At 43.3% G+C, this 26,441-nt stretch overlaps 1 protein-coding gene and 1 pseudogene across 3 annotated transcripts; both read right to left on the reverse strand.

The window, feature by feature from the left end:
* TNFRSF9 (TNF receptor superfamily member 9) lies at positions 1,473-26,441 on the reverse strand. 3 transcript variants are annotated; one of them, NM_001561.6, is made up of 8 exons: positions 26,386-26,441; positions 25,497-25,680; positions 24,323-24,430; positions 23,795-23,932; positions 23,292-23,358; positions 20,615-20,745; positions 18,764-18,898; positions 1,473-6,525 (listed from the first exon to the last, which is right to left on the reverse strand). In NM_001561.6, exons 2-8 carry the CDS (start codon positions 25,594-25,596, stop codon positions 6,437-6,439), a joined length of 768 nt encoding a protein of 255 aa, NP_001552.2. In that variant the 5' UTR covers positions 25,597-25,680; positions 26,386-26,441; the 3' UTR covers positions 1,473-6,436. The 3 variants fall into 3 exon arrangements, with proteins under 3 accessions (NP_001552.2, XP_006710681.1, XP_047275628.1); XM_006710618.4 differs by lacking the exon at positions 1,473-6,525 and adding an exon at positions 7,394-7,623; XM_047419672.1 differs by lacking the exon at positions 1,473-6,525 and adding an exon at positions 17,111-17,732.
* TRUND-NNN4-1 (tRNA-undetermined (NNN) 4-1) lies at positions 15,881-15,950 on the reverse strand (annotated as a pseudogene).

Genomic DNA, 26,441 nt, shown 5'->3' on the forward strand with positions numbered 1-26,441 from the left:
CATGGTGCTTGGTGCCTGGTGGCGTTGTGTTGAATGAAGATTCCTCTTAGAGAAAGCATCTTGTACCCCAATGTGGATCTTAACACGTTGGACATGTCATTCCCCTCGAATGAAAGTTCCCAGGCAGGAAGTGAGTTTTACCTTATCATGTGGATGTGTGGATCTTATCAGGTTAGACATGTCATTCCCCTAGAATGAAAGTTCCAGGTGGGAAGTGAGTTTTATCCTTGTGCTTGTGTCCTGATGTGGTTCCTGGTGCAGAGTAGACACCTGGATGGCTGCTAGTTCAGTGAAGGAGTCATTTGGATCCAATAGTCAGCATCTTCAATGAATGTGTCAGAATCTGCCTCTTCAATGAATTTGGAAAAGTTGTTTGAAAGGCTTCAATGGCTTAGTGAATTTTAAATACAGCTATCTGAATCAATATTGATGTAACAACAGTTTTTTCTTTTTTTTGAGACAAGGTCTCACTTTGTCATCCAGGTTGAAGGGCAGTGGTGCATTCATGGCTTACTGCAGCCTCGACCTCCTGGGCTCAAATGATCCTCCCACCTCAGCCCCCCAAGTAGCTGGAACTACAGGCATGCACCACCATGCCTAGCTAATTTTTTGTATTTTTGGTAGAGATGGGGTTTTACCATGTTGCCCAAGCTGGGAAAACAGCATTTTTTTTTTTTTTTTTTTTTTTTTCCTGAGACAGAGTCTCACTCTGTCTCTCGGGCTGGAGTGCAGTGGTGTGATCTCAGCTCACTGCCACCTCCACCTCCCAGGCTTAAGTGATTCTTGTGCCTCAACCTCCCGAGTAGCTGGTATTACAGGCGTGTGCCACCATGCCTGGCTAATTTTTGTATTTTTAGTAGAGATGAGGTTTCACTATGTTGGCCAGGCTGGTCTTGAACTCTTGGCCTCATGTGATCCACCCGCCTCAGCCTCCCAAAGTGCTGGGATTACAGGTGTGAGCCACTGTGACTGGCCAAAAACAGCATTCTTCTTTTTTTTTTTTTTTTGAGACAGAGTCTCGCTCTGTCGCCCAGACTGGAGTGCAGTGGTGGGATCTTGGCTCACTGCAACCTCCGTCTCCCAAGTTCAAGTGATTTTCCTGCCTCAGCCTCCCAAGTAGCTGGGATTACAGGTGCATGCCACCACGCCCGGCTAATTTTTGTATTATTTAGTAGAGGCAGGGTTTCACCATATTGGTCAGGCTGGTCTTGAACTCCTGACCTCTGGTGATCCACCCCCCTTGGCCTCCCCAAGTGCTGGGATTACAGGTGTGAGCCACTGCACCCGATCAACAGCATCCATTTTTATGTAACTAATAAGTCAATTGTTGAAAGCAAAAGGAATCTCATACTGGAAATCTTTAGCATCCTTCGGCACTAAAAGCCAAAGTTTACAAAGAATGGCACCTTATTTCATGATTACCCTTTATGATATGATGTTGCAACAGTTATAAAAAGCTTTTTAAAATAAGGTCTTTTTTTCTTATTCTTTTTTTCCTGTGAACATCATAGTTTTGTGTTTTATTAGATAGTCTTTTAAATAAAAACGTTGATAAAGATCACTCTCCAAGTCCTACCACACACAGGGCACATGTAACCTGCCCTAGCTGCGGTGGGCACCTCTCACCCACAGATGGAAACATCTTCCTGTGGGGGAAGATGCCCACTTTATAGTCATCCGCCCCTCACATCAAAACTTTCCGTCAGAGTGATATCTTCCACTAAAGAAAAAAAATTAAAACTTTCTTCTGAAAAAAACCTGAGCTTGTTTTTAGCATTTAGAAAATGATTTATAATTTGTGTATCCCTAAATGTGCTAATTTATTTTTAATCATAGAAATTTACATTTATTTCTATTAAACCTAATTATGGAACTTTCTAAATTAAACCCAGAAGGGGATCATTTTATTCTGTCTCAATGTTCCTTCCTTATTAATTGTCATTTAGGGGGAGCAATGACTCACATGCCAAGTTCCTGTGTTTTTCATTTATAGCTTTTGCACATGATACCAGAATAGGCTATGATAAAAATATCACAGTCTGTATCATAAACATAGCCTCCTTTCTTCACAGAATAAACTGTGGATTTTCGGTGTGTAACCTAGGACACATGAGAGCCTCGCTCCATTATCTTGGATACCCCAACCCTGTGGGGCATGACCAGTCTCTTTCTGTTTGTGGATAGTCAGCAGTAGGTAATTAAACACCATGTGTCCAAAGCCAAGAGGAGAAATCACTTTAGAACTTACAGCATCATGATTCAGAAAGACAAAAATATTCGCACCTAGCTTTGTTCCTGAAATGGCACCAGTATACTTCCTAAGCTTTGCTTTGCCTACTATTTGGCAAGAATTGTACAGCCAATAATTGTTCTCTTATTCTTATTGGAACACCAGATGACTCAATTCTGTAAAATTATCAACTCTCCCTAAATTGACCTGTAGATTTAATGAAATTCCAATCCAAATCTTTTCAAATTCAGCTTCTAAAATTTATATTGAATAATAAAGAACCAAGAATAACCAAGACATCTCTTTTCTTTTTTTTCCTGAGACAGAGTTTCGCTCTGTCACCCAGGCTGGAGTGCAATGGTACGATCTCGGCTCACTGCAACCTCCGCCCCCCGGGTTCAAGCAATTCTCCGGCCTCAGCCTCCCAAATAGCTGGGATTACAGGCACATGCCACCATGCCTGACTAATTTTTGTATTTTTTAGTAGAGATGGGGTTTCACCATGTTGGCCAGGCTGTCTCAAAACTCCTGACCTCAGGTGATCCATCCGCGTCGGCCTCCCAAAGTGCTGGGATTACAGGCGTGAGCCACCGTGCCTGACCTAGCTAAGACACTTCTGAAGTAGAAAAAGAAGGTGGAGGGAGATGTCCTACCGGATATCGAGAGCTGTTACAAAGCTATTGTAATAAACACAGTGTGATACTGGCACAGGATAGACAAATTGACAATGGAACAGAACAGGGAGCCCAGAAGCAGACCCATGGCCCTATGGAAACTTGATGGATGGTAGGTGAGATTGCAGACCCGCAGGAGAAAGACGACGTATTGAATACATGGCGCAGGGACCAGTGGTTACCTACATGCAAGACATGGAATTGGATCACTACCTCCCAACAGGCACAAAAGCCAGTTCCTGATACATTAGACTTCAAGATGAAAGACAAAACTTAAAACTTTTGGAATAAAATGTGGGCAAACCTCTTTATAGTATTGGGCAGAAAAGGATTTCTTTAGCCAGGCAAGAAAAAATGTTAACCATATGAGAAAACAGTTATAAATTTAACCAAATCAAATGAAGAACTTTTTGCTTATTACCAGAAAGACAAAGAAAGACACCATTAATTAGAGAAAAACAGGAGGGGCGCGGTGGCTCATGTCTGCAATTCCAGCACTTTGGAAGGCTGAGGTGGGAGGATCACTTGAGCTCAGGAGTTCAAGACCAGCCTGGGCAACATAATGAAACCTCAGAAACCTCACCTCTGCTAAAAATAAAAATAAAAAAGAATTTTATAAAAAATTTTAAAAAGGGAAAAATAAATTACAAAGGATATATATATATATATATATAGATATAGATAGATAGATAGATAGATAGGCAGAATTTCACTCTTGTCACCCAGTCTGGAGTGCAATGGCACAATCTTGGCTCGCTGCAACCTCTGCCTCCTGGGTTCAAGCGATTCTTCTGCCACAGCCTCTGGAGCAGCTGGGGTTACAGGCACCCGCCACCATACCCAGCTAAGTTTTGTACATGTTTAGTAGAGATGGGGTTTCACTGTGTTGGCCAGGCTGATCTTGAACTCTTGACCTCAGATGATCCACCCACCTCAGCCCCGCAAAGTGCTGGGATTACAGGTGTGAGCTACCGTGCCTGGCCACAAAGAAGATATTTTTTAACACATATAACTGACCAAAGATTATTATCTAGAATACATAAAGACCTTTTAGGAATCAGGACAAACAACCACATTTGGGTTTGTTTGTTTCTGAGAAAAGGTTTTTCTCTGTTGCCCAGGCTGAAGTGTAGTGATGCGGTCCCAGCTCACTGCAACCTCTGCCTCCCAGGCTCAAAGCGAACCTACTGAGTAGCTGGGACTTCAGGTGCACACCACCACACCCGGCTAATTTTTGTATTTTTTGTAAAGACAGGGTTTCGCCATGTTGCCAAGGCTGGTCTCGAACTCCTGGGCTCAAGCGATCTGCCCACCTTGGCCTCCCAAAGAGCTGGGACTACAGGCATGAGCCACTGCACCCGGCCCCAAGTTTTTTTGCAAATGGGCAAAAAAGCATGAGCAAGCATTTTATTTAAAAAAATAAACACAAATGGTATATAAATATTTGACAAGGTGCTCATCAGTAACCAAGCAAATGCAAACTAAGACCACAGTGAGATCTCATTCTATACCCACTGGCTTGGCAAAATTAAGGGCACCTGATAGTACCAGAGGGTAGCAAGGATGTGGATCAATGGGATACTTACATGACACTTATATGACTGACGGGAGTACATTAGAACAGCCACTTTGAAAAGCAATTTGGTACTGCAGTAGACTATTGTTCAGAAATATCTTCTCCTCACCCCTATTTACAGAATATACTTTTCTGCCCTATTGATGCCTGGCTTGGCTGCAGGATTTGCTCTAAAGGTTATAGTAGAACCAACTAAATAGGAGCAGAAGTGACAGATACCCATTTGCCATGCGATGGCCAATGTTCCAAATAGAAGCTGCTCCCTCCACCTAAATCCCAGAGTAAAATAACATGGGACAGAGGCACGCAAGCTTGCAATAGGCATGTCATACAAAAGTGTAAGAAATGGCCAGGCATGGTGGCTCATGCCTGTAATCCCAGCACTTTGGGAGGCAGAGGTGGGCAGATCACCTGAGGTCAGGAGTTTGAGACCAGCCTGGACAACATGGTGAAACCCCGTCTCTACTAAAAATATAAAAATTAGCCAGGCGTGGTGGCACATACCTGTAGTCCCAGCTACTTAGGAGGCTGAGGCAGGGAGATCACTTGAAACTGGGAGGCGGTGATCCAAGATTGTACCACTGTACTCCAGCCTGGGAGACAGAGTGAGACACTGTCTCAAAAAAAAATAAAATGAATAAAATTTAAAAAGCTATCCTTAGATCATAAGCCAAACAATGGCAGGCATGCCAGGTTTGCACCTGTAATCCCAGCTACTTGGGAGACTGAGGCGGGTGGATCACTTGAGCCCAGGAGTTTAAGGCTAAAGTGTGCTATGATTGTGCCTGTGAATAGCCACTCCATTCCAGCCTGGGCAACAGAGCAAGACTGTCTCAAGCAAACCAACAGACAAACAAAGGCAAATGGTGCACCAGGTTTGGCCATGGGAGTTTGGCGGCCCCCACTCTAGTGCTGTGGTAGGACAATGAGCTCACAGGTGTTAATTTTCTCACTGTACTTCATACCTATCATATGCAGTTCATTTATTGGCTTTGGTATAAAATATTATGTTAAAAGTTAAGAATTTTTAGAATGTAACCTGGCTTAAAAGGGAGCAGGACAAAGGCAGAAGGTGTGAGGATGGAGAAGACCATAGGATATACAGACACTTGAACTCTTTCCAAAACTTCCTCCAGGCCTGAGGTTTTTTGTCCTTGACCCTAAACTCAGGCACTCTGCTCATACTCCCCCCTGACGGTGGAGCATGTCGTGTTACATGACAGAACCCACGGAAACTTTAGTCGGGTACTTACTGCACCTCGTGGCTTATTGTCATATGTCATATTAGCACCAAAAAACAAACCTGCATTGATTTTGATTATAATTATAGTTGGACCACTGGACTATGTAATTGAATTTAAACTATAATTTTCTTTGGATTTCAAAAAAACTAGCTCAAACCTGTTAAGTGGTATCTAGAAAATGCTTTTTTTTTTTTTTTTTTATCACCAGCTCTGTCCTCATCTGTCTGTTCTGTTAAAAGTGGTGCATTATTTTGGCCGGGCCTGGCAGTTCATGTCTGTAATCCCAGCACTTTGGGAGGCCAAAGTGAACCTAGGAGTTTGAGACCAGCCTGTACAACATGGTGAAATGCCATCTTTACCAAACAAAAAACAAAAAAGTTAGTCAGGTGTGGTGGCCCTTCCTTGTAGTTCCAGCTACTCAGGAGACTGAGGCAGGAGGATCACTTGAGCTCCCAGAGGTCAAGGCTGCAGAGAGCCATGGTGGTGCCACTGCACTCCAGCCTGGGTGACAGAGTGAGACCCTGTCAAAAAAAAAAAAAAAGTGGTGCATTTTTAAAGGCCAACTCATTGGCATTTAGAAAAGAACGTGTGTTGGGGGAATCCTGGGTATTATGTAGGATGGTGTTCTTGCTTTTGAAAGCTGTGATAGCGGATGACTCATATTTCCTTGCTTCTTTTCAAGAAAGTCCCAACAGCCCTATTGACTTCCATTTCACAGTTCACATCCTCCTTCTTCTTCTTCTGGAAATCGGCAGCTACAGCCATCTTCCTCTTGAGTAGTTTGTACTGGTCTCATAAATGCTAAAAAAAAAATTTTAAGATACGTATATTTTGTTGTCTATTTGAATCATTTAACACTTATTTTCCATAAATTATAGCTGCAGAACATCTCTAAGCAGCAAACATTCTCCCCTTTAATTTTAACAAACTCAGCCAGGCGTGGTGGCTCATGCCTGTAACCCCAGCACTTTGGAAGGCCGAGGTGGGCAGATCACTTGAGGTCAGGAGTTCAAGACCAGCGTGGCCAACATAGCAAAACCCCATCCCTACTAAAAATACAAAAATTAGCCGGGCGTGGTGGCAGGTGCCTGTAATCCCAGCTACTCAGGAGGCTGAGGCAGGACAATTGCTTGAACCCAGGAGACAGAGATTGCAGTGACTTGAGATGGCGCCATTGCACTCCAGCCTGGGTGACAACAGCGAAACTCTGTCTCAAAAAACAAAACAAAACAAAACAAAACAAAACAAAACAAAACAAAAACAGGCCGGGCGCAGTGGCTCATGCCTGTAATCCCAGCACTTTGGGAGGCTGAGGCCGGTGGATCACAAGGTCAGGAGTTCAAGACCAGCCTGGCCAAGATGGTGAAACCCCGTCTCTACTAAAAATACCAAAAAAATTAGCTGGGCGTGGTGGTGGGCGCCTGTAATCCCAGCTACTCGGGAGGCTGAGGCAGAGAATCGCCTGAACCTGGGAGGTGGAGGTTGCAGTGAGCTGAGATTGCGCCACTGCACTCCAGCCTGGGTGACAGAGTGAGACTCCATCTAAAAAAAATTATAATAATAATAGTAATAATAATTTTAACAAACTCATCCACAAGAGAGGTAACAGCAAGGATGAACTTCCTCTAGAGATTATTTGAAATTTGTTTCCTCTTACCAAATATTTGTATTGGTCTTTAAGAACTATTTTCTTTATTTTCTACATTAGCTAAAAAAGCATGAATCTTAAGCATGAATCACTAAACCATAAAATATTAGCCATATCCCAATCATAGCTCTAGTTTCAATTCAGCAGCACTTATTTTCGTCTTGAGGGTTACTGAGATTCGAGATCCGATGGTTTCCTTGGAATGCAGTGTTATGACTCCAGGATTGTGAAGGTATCCCCACTGCTTCCATCTGTTAGGAACCAAGAACCGATCTGTGCGTGAGCTGCCAGGCTTTCTTTTACATGTTAGTGAAGTATTTGTGTTACTGCTCCGCAAATTTCAATCCTAAGCAGATATTTATTTACAGACTGGCAAGGCAAAAAGTCCTACCCCGATTTCATATGCTTGTTGCTATAAAAAATAACCACACCATCTCCTAGAACTTATGAAAAACTGGCAAGATGTTCAGAAATACCAACGGGATGTCTTTTGAAATTGTTCCCAGGTTGAATTTCAAAATGGAGATCTCTTCTGGAAAGATTGAGATGTCATGTTTTCCGTATTTGTCCTGCTGAGTACTGCTGAAAACCTCTCAGAAAGGCAGAGAGAGGAAGGCCAATTGGGTCAGGATCTCCAGACCCAAGAAACAACATGGCAATGGGTTTCTTTCTGCCTCATTTCCCTCTGACTGGGAACTAGAGAAGCAGCACTCTAAAAATGCCAATAGCGTGGACAAAACAAAGCAAAAACCAAGAAGAGGCCAGGCGTGGTGACTCACATCTGTAATCCCAGCACTTTGGGAAGCCAAAGCAAGCAGATCATCTGAGGTCAGGATTTCGAGACCAGCCTGGCCAACATGGCGAAACCCTGTCTCTACTAAAAACACAAAAATTAGCTGGGCATGGTGGCGCTCACCTGTAATCTTAGCTATTCGGGAGTCTGAGGCAGGACAATGGCTTAAACCCAGGAGGCAGAGGTTGCAGAGAGCTGAGATTACACCACTGCACTCCAGCCTGGGCAACAGAGCAAGACTCCATCTCAAAAAAACACATAAAAAACTAAGAGGAGCTTGTACTCTCTAGTTATGAGACCAGGAAAGGGGCAGCATAGCAAGACTACAAACTTCTTTTTTTTTTCTTTTTTTTTTTTGAGATGGAGTCTCACTCTGTTGCCCAGGCTGGAGTGCAATGGCGTGATCTCAGCTCACTGCAACCTCCGCCTCTTGGGTTCAAGCGGTTCTCTTGCCTCAGTCTCCTGAGTAGCTGGGACTACAGGTGCCCGCCACCAGGCCCGGCTAATTTTTGTGTTTTTAGTAGAGATGGGGTTTCACCATATTGGCCAGGCTGGTCTCAAACTCCTGACCTTATGATCCGCCCATCTGGGCCTCCCAAAGTGCTGGGATTACAGGCGTGAGCCACCACACCTGGTCCAAAAACTTCTAGACAATAACCACTCAATTCTAACAAAACACCACAAAAAACACCGTGGCTCCGCCTGCAAGCCCACCAGGAAGGACTGAGTAGAGAGCCTGGACTTCCACCCTCACGGCTGATTAAGGCTCATCTCCCCCTCCCTCCTGGGGTAGTGTCAGAGGAGGCCTAGTGGGAGCTAGAACTCCCACGTGTCTAGCAGTAAAAAGGAGACCCTCACCCTCCAGGAGGTATAGCATAGAACCCAAACTTCCTCCACCCCTGCCTGGCCGTAACGAGCTGCCCATCCTCCTTCCTTCCCTAGAGTGATGTCAGAGGAACCCTGAGAAAATACAAGATCTAAATTAGATCCAGAAACTGGGTGTGGGGGCTCACGCCTGTAATCCCAATACTATGGGGGCCAAGGCAGGAGGATCGCTTGAGTCCAGGAGTTCTAGACCAGCTTGGGTAACAGAGCAAGACCCTGTCTCTACAAAACATTTAAAAATTAGCCAGGGGTGGTGGCACATGACTGTAGTCTCAGCTACTCTGGAGGCTGAGGTGGGAGGATCACTTGAGCCCAGGAAGTTGAGGCTGCATTGAGGCGTGATCATGCCACTGCACTCCCGCCTGGGTAATAGAGCAAGCAAGACCCTGACTTCTAAAAAATTTTTTTTTTACTTAGGCCTAAATCTAACAAAACACATACAGAACTTGTATAGTGAAAACTACAAAATGCTGGTGAAATAAATTTTAAAATGTATAAATGAAGAGACATACTATGTTCCTGCATTAGAATACAGTCATACAGCGTACAACAACGTTTTGGTCAAAAACAGACTGCATATATGATCGTGGTCCCATAAGATTATAGTGGAGCTGAAAAGTTCCTATTGCCTCGTGATGTCCAACCATCATAACATTGCAGCACAGCTCATTGCTCACGTTTGTGGTGATACTGATGTAAAAAACCTACTGAGCTGCCAGTTGTGTAAAGTGTAGCATATGCAATTATGTACAGCACATAATCCTTGACAATGACAATAAATGACTATGTTAGTAGTTTATGGACTTACTATACCATACTTTTTATAGTTATTTCATAGTATATTCCATATATATATATATATATATATATATATATATATATATATAACCAGTTAAGGCCGGGTGTTGTGGCTCACACCTGTAATCCCAGCACTTTGGGAGGCCAAGGCAGGTGGATTGCCTGAGCTCAGGAGTTTGAGACTAGCCTGGGCAATTTGGTGAAACCCTGTCTCTACTAAAGTACAAAAAATTAGCCAGGCATGGCGGCATGCACCTGTAATCCCAGCTACTCGGGAGGCTGAGACAGGAGAATCCCTTGAACCCGGGAGGCAGAGGTTGCAGGGAGCCGAGACCGCCCCATTGCACTCCAGCCTGGGCAACAGAGCAAGACTCCTCTCAAACAAAAAACAAACAAACAAACAAACAAACAAAAACCAGTTAATTGTAAAACAGCCTCAGGCAGGTCCTTTGGGAGGTATTCCAGAAGAAGACATTGTTCTCATAGGAGATGACAGCTACATGCATGTTTTTGCCCCAAAGATCTTCCAGTGGGACAAGATGTGGAGGTGGCAGACACCAACTCTGTGTGGGTCTAGGCTAATAAGTGTGTTCGTGTCTTAGTTTTTCACAAAAAAAGTTTAAAAAGTAAAAAGCAATTTAAAAACTTTTAAATAGATAAAAGCTTATAGAATAAGGAAATAAAGAGAAAATATTTTTGTACAGCTGTACAATGTGCTTGTGTTTTAAGCTAAGAGTTATTACAAAAGAGTCAAAAAGTTAAAAAAAATTTTTTTTAAGTTTATAGGCTGGGTGCGGTGGCTCATGCCTGTAATCCCAGCACTTTGGGAGGCCGAGGTGGGCAGATTACCGGAGCTCAGGAGTTCGAGACCAGCCTAGCCAACATGGTGAAACCCCATCTCTAATACAAAAATTAGCCAGGCGTGGTGGCAGCTGCCTGTAGTCCCAGCTACTTGGGGGGCTGAGGCAGGAGAATCACTTGAACCTGGGAGGTGCAGGCTGCAGTGAGCCAAGATCTCGCCACTGCATTCCAGCCTGGGCAGCAAGACCCTGCCTCAAAAAAAAAAAAATTAAAGTTTATGAAGTAAAAAGTCACAGTAAGCTAAGGTTAATTTATTATTGAAGAAAGAGAACATTTTAAATAAATTTAGGTTAGCTTAAGTGTACAGTGTTTATAAGACTACAGTGATATACAGCAGAGGTCCCCAACCTTTTTGGCAAGAGGGACCAGTTTTGTGGAAGACAATTTTTCCACGGACTGGGTGGGTGGGGGGATGGTTTCAGGATGATTCAAGCACATTACATTTATTGTGCACTTTATTTCTATTATTATTACTTTGTAATATATAATGAAATAATTATACAACTCCCTGTAATGTAGAATCAGTGGGAGCCCTGAGCTTGTTTTCCTACAACTAGACAGTCCCATCTGGGGGTGATGGGGAACAGTGACAGATCATCAGGTACTGGATTCTCATAAGGAGCGTGCAACCTCGATCCCTCGTATGCGCAGTTCACAATAGGATTCATGCTCCTATGAGAATCTAATGCCGCTGCTGATCTGATGGGAGATGGAGATAAGGCGGTAATGCAAGTCATGGGGAGGGGCTATAAATACAGAGGAAGCTTCACGTGCTTGCCCACCACTCTCCTCCTGCTGGGTGGCCTGGTTTCTAATGGCGTCTCACTCTGTTGCCCAGCCAGGAGTGCAGTGATGCGATCTCGGCTCACTGCAACCTCTGCCTGTCAGGTTCAAGGGATTCTCCCACCTCAGCCTCCCAAGTGGCTGGAATTACAGGCATGCGCCACCACACCCGGCTAATTTTTGTATTTTTAGTAGAAACAGGGTTTCACCATGTTGGCCAGGCTAGTCTCGAACTCCTGACCTCAGGTGATCTGCCCACCTTGGTCTCCCAAAGTGTTGGGATTACAGACATGAGCCACTGCGCCTGGCAAAGATCATATTATTTTCACGGTACCTCTTCTATGTTTAGATATGTTTAGCTACACAAATACCATTATGTTACAGTTGCCTATGGTATTCGGTACAGTCACATGCCTGACAGGTTTGTAGTATAGGAGGGATAGGCTATACCATCCAGCCTAGGTGTATAGTAGGCTGTACCATCTAGGTTTGCATAAGTGCCCTCTATGATGTTCACACAACAACGAAATCACTTAACAACACATTTCTCAGAACTACCCCTGTCATTAAGTGATATGTGACTGTACTTCACATAGTAAAGATGTCAATTTGCCCGAAACTGATATGCAGATTTAACACAATTGTTATCAGAATCCCAGCCGGCTTTTTGTAGATATAGATATTATCCTAAAATGTATGTGGAAATGCAAAGGAACTAGAATAGATAAAACAATTTTGAAATGAAATAATAAAGTGGGAGAGACTACCACCCTCTACCCAATTTCAGTATTTATGTATAACTACAGTAATCAAGGCTGTGTGGTATTGGCAGAAGAAGAAACACATGGATCAATGGAACAGAAGAGGGAAACCAGATAGCCCCACGTAATTGCAGCCAACTGACTTTGACAAAGGTACAATGAAGGATGACTAATGTTTTCCACTAGTGGTGCTAGAGCAATTGGACGTCCATAGTCCAACAACAAAAACAACAACAAAAAACTTGGCTAAAACCTCTCACACCTTATACGAAAAATTTAAAACGAATCAAGCATGGGCACAGTGGCTCACACCTGTAATCCCAGCACTTTGGGAGGCCAAGGCAGGAGGATTGTTTAAGGCCAGGAGTTCAAGACCAGCCTGAGCAACATGGTGAGACTCTGTCTCAAAATAAAAAAAAAAATTACCCAGGCATGCAGAGAGCCAAAGCCCGTGAGACGTGACCAACTCAACATTCCACTGGAGGCTATATGATCAAACAGCAAAGTGTTCATCACGAATGCAAGATGTGAGCAAACTCACACTGCCCTGCCACCAAAAAGTTTGCTGAGGGACGCTACTCCCTGGCTCCTTGAAGTTATCTATTGAGAAATCTAGCACCTATTGTTCAAAGGATGCAGTCTCACAAGCCTGCTGTGAACCAAACACCAAACGGCTAACTGACAATTACCCGACAATCATCCCCGCTTTCTCACTATCTCTTTTGCCTAATAAATACGGAGGGCTGTGTAAAGCTCAGGGCCCTTGTCCACTAGAGGCAAGGTGCCCCCTGACCCCTTCTTCCAAATATACTCTTTTGTCTCGTCTTTTATTCCCGCTTTTGCCCCCCTTTGTTCAGTCCAATAGGTCCACAGCAAGTGCTGGCACACTCCTGTAGTCCCAGCTACTTGGGAGGCCAAGGAGGGAGGATCACTTGAGCCCAGGAGGTGGAGGCTGCAGTAAGCCATGATCACACCACTGCACTCCAGCCTGGGTGACAAAGCAGAGACCCTGTCTCAGAAAAAAAAAATCAAGATTTAAATATGAAATAGAAAACTGTAAAAGTTATAAGAGATAGAGGAAAAAAAAAAACCCTAAATCTTTGAGACCCAGGACTCAGTGAAGAATTCTTAGACATGACTCCATAAATGAAAAAATCCATAAACTGGACTTCAGCAAAATTAAATAGCTTTTCTCTGTGGAAGAGCCTGAGAAGAGGATGAAAAGGCAAGCTACTGACTGGGAGAAAATATTTATAAACCATATATATGCCAAAGGACTCCTATCTGGGAAATACGAAGAACTCTTGAATCTCAACAGTAAAACAAACAAATAATCCAACTAGAAAATAGGTGAAAGACCTGAACAACACTTCACTGAAGAAGATATAAAGATGGAAAATAAGCACATGAAAAGATGTCCACCCATAAGGGAAGTGCAAATTAAAGCCCCAATGAGATGTCACTACATACCTATTAGAACAGCTGAAATAAAAATTGTGGCAATGCAAAATGCAAGCAAGGATGCAGAGAAACTCCGATGAGAATGTAAAATGATACACTTCCTCTGGAAAATAGTTCGACAACTTCTTAAAAACTAAACAAGCACCAAACATATAGCCCAGCAATTGCACTCCTGAGCATTTATCATAGAGATACAAAAATACATGTCCACACAAAACCTGTACATAATTATTCCTCGCAGCTTTATATGTAATAGTCAAAACAGGAAGCAAACAAAATATCTTTTAATGGGTGCATGGTAAAACAAACTGTGGCACAAGCATATCGTGGAATACTATTCAGCAAGGAAAAAGAATTAACCATTGAAACACACAGCAACTTGGATGGATATCAAGGGCATTGTGCTGAGTGAAAAAGCAAAATCTTAAAAAAAGTTCACGTTTGTGAAAGTTGTCAGAATCAAAATGGAGTAACTTGTGTCAAAACCCTGACAAATGGGCCGGGCATGGTGGCTCATGCCTGTAATCCCAGCACTTTGGGAGACTGAGGCAGGCAGATCACATGAGGCCAGGAGTTCAAGACCAGCCTGGCCAACGTGGCAAAACCCCGTCTCTACTATAGCCGGGCATGGTGGCAGCTGCCTGTAATCCCAGCTACTCAGGAGGCTGAGGCACGAAAATCGCTGGAACCCAGGAGGCGGAGGTTGCAGCGAGTGGAGATCACGCCACTGCACTCCAGCCTGAATGACACAGGGAGATCCTGTCTCAAAAACAAACAACAACAATAACAACAAAAAACCAAAAAACAAACAAACAAACAAAAACCCTGACAAATGGAGCCAGGGAAGGCCGTGAAGGGGGTTTCTTATGCATGCATGCCTGATAAAAACAACTATCACAAAAGATGGCAGAAACCACAACCTTGCACCAAGGCTACTGTATCTTAACAAAAAAATACTTCTGCCGGTATTGATCTTTGTAGCAAAGGATAATTGTTTCAAAATAACTTACATAACCCTCCTCAGTTTTTCTTTTTTTTCTTTTTCCTTTTTTTTTTTTTTTTTTTTTGAGACAGAGTCTTGCTCTGTCGCCCAGGCTGGAGTGAAGTGCAGGATGCGATATCAGCTCACTGCAACCTCCGCCTCCCAGGTTCAAGTAATTCTTGTGCCTCAGCCTCCCAAGTATCTGGGATTACAGGCACGTGCCACCATGCAGGGCTAACTTTTTGTATTTTTAGTAGAGATGGGGTTTCACCATGTTGGCCAGGCTGGTCTCGAACTCCTGACCTCAGGTGATCCATCCGCCTCAGCCTCCCAAAGCGCTGGGATTATAGGCATGAGCCACTGTGCCCCGCCCCTCATTTTTTCTTTTAAAAACTCGCATCACCTTTACATCCCTGAATACACCCACCGTATTCCCACTGCAATGCTACTCCTGAAAAAATATAATCTTTTAGAGAGGCTCTCTCTATCTATGATTTAGCTTGACACATACCATATGATTCTATTTATACCATATTCCTTAAATAACAAAAGTATAGAGATGAAAGACAGATAAGTGGTTGCCAGGGGATGGTGGGGAGAGGTAGAGGACCTAACTAGAAAGGAATAGTGGAAGGAGATCTCTGTGGTGATGGATAGTTCTGATTTTATTGTGCTGGTTGTTATACAACTCCACATGTGTGATAAAGGGACAAACAACTACACACGCACACTGTGCCAATGTCAATTTCCTGCTTTGCCATTGTACTGGAGAATGGAACCCAGAAACCGCATGAGAGATGTTCCTGTCTTGGCAAATTCCTGTGAATCTATAATTACGTCAAAATTGAAAGTTCTTTTGAACGACCTAAAACCTTTTTTTTTTTTTTTTTTTGAGACGGAGTTTCGCTTTTGTTGCCCAGGCTGGAGTGCAATGGCACGATCTCAGTTCACTGCAACCTCCACCTCCCGGGTTCAAGCGATTCTCCTGTCTCAGCCTCCTGAGTAGCTGGGATTACAGGCATGCACCACCACGCCTGGCTAATTTTTTGTATTTTTAGTAGAGACGGGGTTTCACCATGGCCAGGCTGGTGTTGAACTCCTAACCTCAGGTGATCTGCCCGCCTCAGCCCCCCAGAATGCTAGGATTACAGGCGTGAGCCACAGCGCCCAGCCAGAAGGAAGGCTTCCCTGACCAGGAATCGAACCCGGGTCGTGATGGCGAGCGCGGAATCCTAACCACTAGACTACCAGGGAGTGTCCTAAAAACTTTTAAAAAATGGATTACAGTTCCATTGAAACTCACTAATTACTCATAAATACTTTTGAAAAGCATTTTATAACGAACTTTGTTGCAGTCTGGGGTGTGGATGGAACTTTGTTGCAGAGATACTCCTTTAAATCAGGATTAAGTCCAGCACTTTGGGAAACCGAGGTGGGAGGATCGCTTGAGCCCAGGAGTTTAAGACTGGCCTGGACAACACCGTGAATCCCAGTCTCTACAAAAACACTAAAAATCAATTAAAAATTAGCTGAGTGTGGTGGTATGCACCTATAGTCCCAGCTATTTAGTAGGCTGAGGCAGGAGGATTGCTCGAGCTCTGGAGTTCGAGGCTACAGTGAGCTGTGATCGCACCATTGCACTTCAGCCTGGGTGACACAGTGAAACTCTGTCTCAAAAAAACAAAAGACAAAACTGAAATCAGGTTTAAGTGAGAACGCAGAGGTTTAAACTGGAGGTGTAGACCTCAAAAAAAGAATGAAAGAGCAAACCACAGAATAGGAAAAGATATTTGCAGCTCATGAACAGCAGACTAAAAACTTCCTATACGTTAGTAAGAAAAGGACAGACAATCCTATGAGAAAATACTCAAAAGACTTGATCAGGCCCTTCACTAAAGAGGAAATCCAAATAGCCAAAATAACATGAAAAGGCGTCTAACCTCACTAGCAACCAGGAAGTGTAAGTTAAAACCACAATGAGATACAACTATCCACCCACCATATCGATAAAAATAATCTGATGATACCAAGAGTTATCAGGGGATGTGGAGTAACAGGAAACTCATTACCGCCAGGGGAGTGTAAATGGGGTCCAATCATTTAGGAAAACAGTTTGGCATATTCACGACCAAGATACACATGTTCCTTGTAGCTCAGCAACGTTATTTCTAGGTTAAAAAACAAAACCAAGCCAGAAACACGTGTTTACGTGTGCTGAGATACACGGACAAAAATATTCAAACGTCATTACATGTAATAACCCCAAGCTGGAAATGATCCCGCTGTCCATCAGTACTAGAATAGGTGAACAATGATGTCATCATTCAACAAGAGTGTGCAACAGTGGAAATCAACTAAAGATGAACTCAACATGGATGAATCTTCATGATACAACGTTGAAAGAAGAAGCAAGATACAGAAAACAGTGTGATTCTATTTGTATGAAGTTCACAAGCAGCCCAATAAAACTGTGTTATTAGGTAGCAAAACTACAGCAAAAGGAAGTTAATACCATACAAGTCTAGATGTGGTTAGCAGTAGTGGGCAAAGAGGGCTGTGATCTAGAAAGGGCATGCCAAGGGCTTCGGGAATGAGTTATGTTCCACTTCTTTACCCTGGTAGAGTTATTTGAATGTTTGTTTACAACAATTTGTTAAACTTTACATTTATGCATTTTTCTGTATAGGTCACAATGTATAAAAGTTCTATATTGCTTTAAAAAGAGCCTTTAAATACATTAGCATAATTTATTAGATAAGACTTTACTGGCTGAGCGCAGTGGCTCACGCCTGTAATCCCAACACTTTGGGAGGCTGAGGCGGGCGGATCACCTGAGGTTGGGAGTTCAAGACCAGCCTGGCCAACATGGAGAAACCCCGTCTCTACTAAAAATGCAAAATTAGCTGGGTGTGGTGGCGCATGCCTGTAATGCCTCGGGAGCCTGAGGCAGGAGAATCGCTTGAACCCGGAAGGAGGAGGTTGCGGTAAGCCGGGATCACGCCATTGCACTCCAGCCTGGGCAACAAGAGTGAAACTCTGTCTCAAAAAAGAAAAAAAAAGACTTTACTAATGCTGTTCCTGCATATATATTTTTAACAATCTCCAAATAGGCACATTCTGGTCTTACATGGTGCTTTGGGTTAAAATTTTGCTCTCAAAAAGCTCCTTTTATTATATCCCTCTTATTAAGTCTTATTAAGCCTGTTATGTCTCATCCTAATGTCCATGAAGACAAAAAACAGATTGCCTTCCATCTATATACTTTTTCAAATAAATATCAATGGCTTTTGTCTAGTGGATGCTGACTCAGTGCCAGGCACTTGCTGAGTACCTTACAGAAATAATTGTTGAACAAGTGAATGAATGAAATTCATTATTGAAATTTTTCATGTAATCCATACTGGTGCTGTAATAATTCATTTGTTAAACCCCCTTCAAGCTCCCTCTTTGTTCTCCTTGCCTTCCTCAAATATGGGTCTAAACTCATTTTAAGCCAGTTTATCAACCAGAGGGACATAGAGGGAACATGGTTTTCTGATTCTTCTTTGCCAGTGTCCTCCACACGCACACACACACATACACACACGCACGCACGCGCACACACACACGCACACACACACAGACACGCACACACACACATACACACACACACACACATACACATACATGCAATAATCCAAGGCTGCAGCATATTTAAATCTGTCATTTTTCTAGAACCGAGGTGTGCTCTTCTATATGCAAGCTTTCTCCACCTCAGCACTATTGACATTTGGGGCAGCATCATTCTTTGCTGGGAGGCTGTCCCGTGCACGGTAGGAGTTGAGCAGCATTGCTGACCTCTACTCACTAGATGCAATAGCCCCTAATCACCACCATCACCACCGAGCGGTGAACACTGCAACTGTCTCCAGACACTGCAAATATTCCCAGGGACGAAATTGCCCCTGCGTGATAGCCACGGGGCTATATGAACCTCATTTCTAGAATTTTTTTTAAAATCATATTTTCCTTTCTATTATAAAAAGCCTTGCCTTGCCAGAGCTGTAATATGATTATGTTAATCTTACGTTGTTTGAATATATACAGGAGTTTCTTTCTGCCCCGTTTAACAACAGAGAAACGGAGCGTGAGGAAGAACAGCAGGAAGAGCAACGCAGTCGACGTCAGCGCAAGAAAGAAGGAGATGATCTGCGGAGAGTGTCCTGCAAAACACAGCAAAAGGAGAAACGCATGCAGAAATGTGTTGACACTCATACACCCATGTATATATTTACATTGGTAAATTTCTAAGCATGAGAAGAATCACAGCCTTGGGCATCTCCAACCTGCTAATGGAGTAAACTTAGAAAACTTTTAAAGAGGCCAGACATGGTGGCTCACGCCTGTAATCCCAACACTTTGGAAGGCCGAGGCAGGAGGATCACTTAGAGTCAGGAGTTCAAGACCAGCCTGGCCAACATAGTGGTGGCAGGAACTTGTAATCCCAGCTACTTGGCAGGATGAGGCAGGAGAATGGCTTGAACCCGGGAGGCGGAGGTTGCAGTGAGCTAAGATGGTGCCACTGCACTCCAACCTGGGCAACAGAGTGAGACTCCATCTCAAAAAAAAGAAAAGAAAGAAAAGAAAAAGAGAAACTTAATGGCAGGGAGCGGTGGCTCACACCTGTAATCCTAGCACTTTGGGAGGCCAAGGTGGGCAGATCACCTGAGGTCAAGAGTTTGAAACCAGCCTGGCCAACATGGAGAAACTCCATCTCTACTAAAAATACAAAAATTAGCTGGGTGCCGTGGTGGGCGCCTGTAATCCCAGCTACTCAGGAGGCTGAGTCAGGAGAATCGCTTGAACCTGGGAGGTAGAGGTTGCAGTGAGCCGAGATTGCGCCATTGCACTCCAGCCTGGGTGACAGAGAGAGACTCTGTCCACCCCCCCAAAAAAATAAAAGAAACTTAATAATTGAGCAGTTTATCCTTTCTAGCACATAGAAAATATGGGACCTGGGGACCAGGCGTGGCGGCTTATGCCTGTAATCCCAACACTTTGGGAGCCCAAGGCAGGAGGATTGCTTGAGCCCAAGAGTTTGAGAGCAGCCTGAGCAACATAGCAAGACCCCGACTCTGCCAAAAAAATAAAAAATTAGCCAGGTGTAGTGGTGAGTGCCTATAGTCCCAGCTACTGGGGAGGCTGAGGTGGGAGGATTGGTTGAGCACAGGAGGTGGAGGTTGCAGTGAGCCAATATCAAGCCACTGCACTCCAGCCTGGCACAGAACAAGGCACTCTCGGGGGAAAAAAAAAGCGAGAGAGAGAAAGAAAAAAGAAAAGAAAATATGGGACCCTGGACGGGCGTGGTGGCTCACACCTGTAATCCCAGCACTTTGGGAGGCCGAGGTGGGCGGATCATGCGGTCAGGAGTTCAAGACCAGACTGGCCAGCATGGTGAAACCTCATCTCTACTAAAAATACAAAAATTAGCCGGGCGTGGTGGTGCATGCCTATAATCCCAGCTACTTGGGAGGCTGAGGCAGGAGAATCACTTGAACCCAGGAGGTGGAGATTGCAGTGAGCTGAGACTGCACCACTGCACTCCAGCCTGGCACAGAGCAAGACACTCTCTTAAAAACAAAAAAAAAGAAAAGAAAAGAAAAGAAAAAATATGGGACCCTATAATCCCCTTTCCTTGGCATTGATAAAGATATAGACTCTGTTTGGGTGAAGTGTCCTCTGGCACCGCTTACAAATGTGTATCTCAGACTGAATAACAAATGCCTGGGAAGAAAACTGCTGGGTCCCTGAGGGCAGGATTCAGGAAGAATGCACGTGGGAGGTGCCTGATATGAGATATCATGATATTGGGGCAATTTAGATACAATCTGGAATCACCATAAGATACGCACTTTGGCGTAAAGGCATAGCCCAGTTACCTGGCTCTCTCGCAGGGGCAGGCGGGGTCACAGAGGATGCTCCCGGAGAGAGGTCGGCTGGAGATGGTCCACAGACCACGTCCCTCTCCTTCGTCCCATTCACAAGCACAGACTTTCCATCCAAAGAACAGCTTAGACAGTTCAATGAAAATAATTTAAATAATTAACTTAGGTCCAGAAGATTCTGGTTTAAAACTTTGTCATTTTTCACCCAATGAAGTAGCCTAGTGAAAAAGATATATGGGTCTGGGTTCGAAAGCGATGCAAAGATATTTTGAAAAACTTCCACTTGACCATCTGGCTCCCTGCAGCTTTCCATGGCTTCCTTCTGTTCAGTGACAGCTTAGTTCAGTCTGTCTTGCCTGCTTAGTCTCTCACCCCCAGTTTCTTAATCGGACTTGACCATCTCCGGCACAGATGAAGGCTAGCATAGGGTTAGGAGGTCCAGCACTAGCATCAGGCAAACCAGGGTTTGAGCCCTGGGTCTGCTGCTTTCCAGAATGACTTTGGGCAAGTCAAGAAATCTCTGTAACCCCAGCATGGTGGCTCACGCCTATAATCTCAACACTTTGGTAGGCTGAGGCCAGAGGATCACTTGAGACCAGGCGTTGGAGACCAGCCTGAGCAACATAGCAAGACCCCATCTCTACAAAAATTAAAAGACAAACAAAAATTAACTGATGGTGCATGCCTGTGGCCCCAGCTACTCGGGAGACTGAGGTGGGAGGATCACTTGAACCCAGGAGTTTGAGGCTGATCACTTGAACCCAGGAGTTTGACGCTGTCTCAGAAAGAAAAGAAAAAAGAAACCTCCCTAAGCCTCAGTTTTCTCATCTGCAAAATTAGGATTGTATGTGCTGCCAGAACTGTTTCAAAGAACAAACGAGTGAGAGTCAGTGACACACTCTTGCACATCTGACACGCTGAGTAAATGGTAGCTATCATTATCACCATCATCGCCATCATTGTTGCTGTTGTTGTGACACCTTTCCCTTGTCCCTTTACCTACCCCAAATCCGCCCGTCCTCCAGAGCCCAGTTCAAACCCATTTTTCCATGCAGACTCACTTAACAACTCTGAAAAATTTGTATTGAAAGACCTTTTTTAAAAAGCCACTTTCCAGCTGGGCACAGTGGCTCACACCTGTAATCCCAGCACTTTGGGAGGCCAAGGCAAGCGGATCACTTGAGGTCAGGAGTGCGAGACCAGCCTGGCTAACATGGTGAAAGCCCATCTCTACTAAAAATACAAAAGCACTAGCCAGGCGTGGTTGTGTGCACCTGTAATCCCAGCTACTAGGAGGCCGAGGCAGGAGAATCTCTTGAACCCAGGAGGCAGAGTTTGCAGTGAGGCGAGACCGTGCCATTGCACTCCAGCCTGGGCAAGAAGAGCGAAACTCCATCTCAAAACAAACAAACAAACAAACAAACAAAACAAACAAACAGACCTTTTTAAAAAAGCCACTTTCCAAAGACAGAATTCAGCTAAGTCCGAGAAAATAGTCAATACTTTTCTTGTGAATCATGATTCCATTCGTCAGCCACTCTGATGCTGATAAATTATAAATGACAAAAGCAGAGAGATACCATGATTCCTGTTTCAAAACACTTTATTTTCTCTCAAAAAAGTCACTTTCCAGTCTGTTACAAACCAATACACTTTTGAAATACAATAAAAATGTAAAAGTAAAATAATAAAAATGATTTTCTAGTAAGAAAATGAAACGGAAAAAGAACAAATACATATAAAATACAACGCCCAAATTTTTATTCTTAGTCAACAGACCACATTACTCTGCCAATTTGCCTTAAAAGTTTCTAAATGTTTACTCTCTAACCCTACACCACTGTCGATGGGGACACAGGACAAGCCATTTGTGGACCAGCACCCATCCACAGACCACAGTGTAAGTTCTGGTTCCACAAAACAACAGTCACATTCTCTCGTATACTATTGGCTTTTTACCACCTGTGATGGCCTTGTGTGCCCAAGTCTGTGCCACATTTTGGAGGGTAACGAGCAATTGTTAGTTTCTTCTGTATCATTCTAGGGGCTGGCATTGAACACATGGAGACAGGCTGATCAATGAGAGAAGATAAGAGGCAGCAAAGGAATGAGAAGGAAACAGAAAAGAGGCAGACAGCGGCAAAGTTCCACTGGCAATTCTTTTCCTTTCTTTTGAGACAGGCTCTCTGCTCTGGAGTGCGATGGTGCGATCATAGCTCATTGCAGCCTCAACCTCCCAGACTCAGGTGATCCTCCTGCCTCATCAGCCTTCCCTATAGCTGGGACCACAGGCATGTGCCATTATGCCTGGCTAATTTTTTGATTTTTTGTAGAGACAGGGTCTCACCCAGGCTGGTTTTGAACTCCTGGGCTCAAGGAGTCCTCCTGTCTCAGCCTCCCAAAGTGCTGGGATTACAGGCGTGAACCACTGCACGTGCCCAGCCTCCACTGGCAATTCTGATCTAGATGTTCCAGGCACTATTTCTGGAGAAAATGCCCACTTTGCCTATTGAGTTGCTACGACCTCACAGTGTTCCCACGCTGCCTATTAGTATGTTACATTCTGTCTACACTTGATGGGTGCAAAAAAGCTTCAATGATAGCATTCCTTATCTTCCAAAAAATTTAACCCAGATTCTTTATTCCATAAACTAAAGGAAATTATACGTACTTTGTCCAGGGTCGACAGATGCCACGTTTCTGATCGTTAAATGTCCCAAAGCAACAGTCTTTACAACCTTGTATTAAAAATGAAAGCAATAATAAAAGGGAAGCATTTTCATCATTTTGTAACTTTTCCTGTGATGAACTTAATATAAGTCATTACCATAATGCAATCTGCACAAATTGTTCAATAATTCTTGAAACAACACCCTAAGATGGCTAGTTTTTATTTTAATTGTACATAAAGTATTGTATATGTCTGGAACATGTGAAGATTAATGGTTCTGGCAATTAACAAATGTTCTGATTTCAAATTATTTCCATTTATGAAGAAATAACGGAAATATTTTATTAATTGAAATATTTTATTAATTAAAATATGATATATCATATACTCCCTTGTTACTTTAAGGTTCTACAAATCTGTTTGTTTATTTTCAAAGGATCAAGATCAAAGCTAAGTTTGTCTATGTCACAAAACTACACTAGATCAAAGAAACGCAAACGTACCTTTTTTTGTCAGTTCTTGACCTTGTTTACAATCCTGTTCACACATGCTGCATCCTGCCCCCAGGCAGTGAAACCCTGGAGTGCAGTCACACTCTGCATTGCTGGTGGAGGAACACTCCTTCCTGGTCCTGAAAACACCTACAAAGTCCCCCCAGCCCCCAACATTTTATTACACTTGACCTCCAAATCCAGGAAGCGAATTTATGCTCTGCAGTAAAAATCATGCTCACTCTACTTATAGTGTTCCCAGTAATTTTAAAGTTTACTTTTAAATCTCCATAAAGACATTTTTACATTTAGGTAAGTAAAAACTTCTCTCTTGTCAAATGAATGTTTCCTCTAATATTTAGAAAGCTCAGTCCACAAATAATTGCTGTCACTGGATATTATTGTCCTAGACCTGCTGGTTGGCAGAAGAATCAGTCTTTGACACTTGAGATTTTCAAAAGAGAGCAGTTAGTAAATGGGAAAGAAAAGCTTATCTTCCCAACTATCTTCTAGAAGAAGAAAATATCTTTGAACTCATACCTTTACACTGCCTGCATATGTCACAGGTCCTTTGTCCACCTGCGCTGGAGAAACTATTTGGAGGACAGGGACTGCAAATCTGATTCCTGTTATTATCACAGAATGTACCTAAGAAAGGCAGACAATAGTGGTACACGTTTGACAATGGGCAATCGTCACCCAAGGCATTCCGAAGTTTACAATAAAATAAGATTATAAAAGAATGATGAGTTTTCTAGATGCCACAGTGGTGGACATTAGTTTGATTGACTTCCTAAAACAATACATTTGCAAGATTATTCTTTGTGTAATCACAGAATTAGAAATAACAAAATACAGGCCAGGTGCAGTGGCTCACGCCTGTAATCACAGCACTTTGGGAGGCCGAAGCGGGCAGATCACCTGAGGTCAGCAGTTCAAGACCAGCTTGGCCAACATGGTGAAATCCTGTCTCTACTAAAAATACAAAAATTAGCCAGGCGCAGTGGTGCACACCTGTAATCCCAGCTACTCGGGAGGCTGAGGCAGGAGAATTGCTTGAACCTGGGAGGCCAAGGTTGCAGTGAGCTGAGATCGTGCCACTGCACTCCAGCCTGGGCGACAGAGTGAGACTGTGTCTCAAAAAAAAAAAAAAAAACATACACACACAAAAAAAACAAAAAAACCAGATATTGTAACAAATAAATCAACAGAAAGAAAATACTTTATCTATTGAATAAAACAAAATGATTATCTTGATTGATGTAGGAGATGAATATGACTGGATCCAGGAGGACATCAATGTCCTACACTAAAATTTAAATGCGACTGACCGTCCCCACTCTGTTAAGCCCTTTACTACGCGCTTACTCGCTGCTATGCCCCCAGTCGGAGCACAAAGCCCTACACACAAAACTAACATTTATTGAAGTCTTGCCTTGTGCCATGCACTGTTCTAAGCCCTTCATTTGATCCTCCCAGCCATCCTATAAAACAGGTTCTCTTATTATCCCCAGATGAGAAAGTCAAGGCACAAGAGGTTGAATGACTTTGCTGTGTTCACACAGCTAGGTTGTAGCATCCAATAAACATTTGTAAATGAATGAATTTTCATTTTCCTTTCCTTAAAAGGGAGCTCGTTAGCCCTGACTACTAGACTAACTGAACCATACTTCCAACAGAGCAGATCAAATGCACATGATAACTGGGTACTCACCAGCTGGGCAGTTACTACAAGGATCCTGCAATGATCTTGTCCTCTCAAAGTTGAGGACCAGCAACAGAGTGGCTACTATGTTGTAACAGCTGTTTCCCATGATGAAATCTGGCACAGGTATGATACTAGCAAAGCTGATTCCAAGAGAATTTTAATCAAATTAGCTGGTCTCACAAATGTCACTCTGCAAAAGATAAACATTTCCAAGGAAAGGTGGTTTCTCCTTTCAAAATTATCTATATTGCAATCATTACTTATACAATTCTATAAGAGGATAACTCAGGGTTTTTCAGGAACAATTAATGATGCAATATTACGGAAAAGTAGCAGATTCATAGAAACCACTAGGACAAGGCAGGCGTGATTAAACACACAGCTTTGTGCCGGTTTGCCAAAGTTTGAGGGTGCATTTTCCATCATGTTCTGCCAAAATGCAGAAATAACAATAGCAAGAACTTTTGGGGACTTTCATAGGTACTTTGCAGTACCAACCAGCAATAATGCCAATTACTTATTGCCCCTGAAATAAACTCCTTACAAAGAGAATCTGTCAGGGGCATCAGACAATTCAGTTCAAGAAGAAGCTATCACATAATCACTCTTCCCCCTTTAGCTGAACACCTAACTACTAACATGTGGAAAGACCTCCCTGTTCAACTCACTAACACATTTTCTTAAACAGAGACATGTTTTGAGATGTGAAGTTTGTATGGTAACAAAACTAAGGAGTGAAAAACTCTTCAGGCTAAGTTATTGATGTTTATTTAAAGGGCTATTGAAGAGAAGTTATTACATATTAGGAGAAAAAGTCTAGAAATGGGCAAAGGGAGCAAAAGTTCCAATCTCACCCCTTCTCAGTGCCCCCACCCACTCCCCCAGATGGACAGACCTTGAGATCTCAGGGCTGCCGGAGAACTTTCCACTCCTTGGTCTTCAGGCTTCTGC

This window comes from Homo sapiens, chromosome 1, assembly GCF_000001405.40.
Source record: "Homo sapiens chromosome 1, GRCh38.p14 Primary Assembly".
NCBI classification, from domain to species: Eukaryota; Metazoa; Chordata; class Mammalia; order Primates; family Hominidae; genus Homo; species Homo sapiens.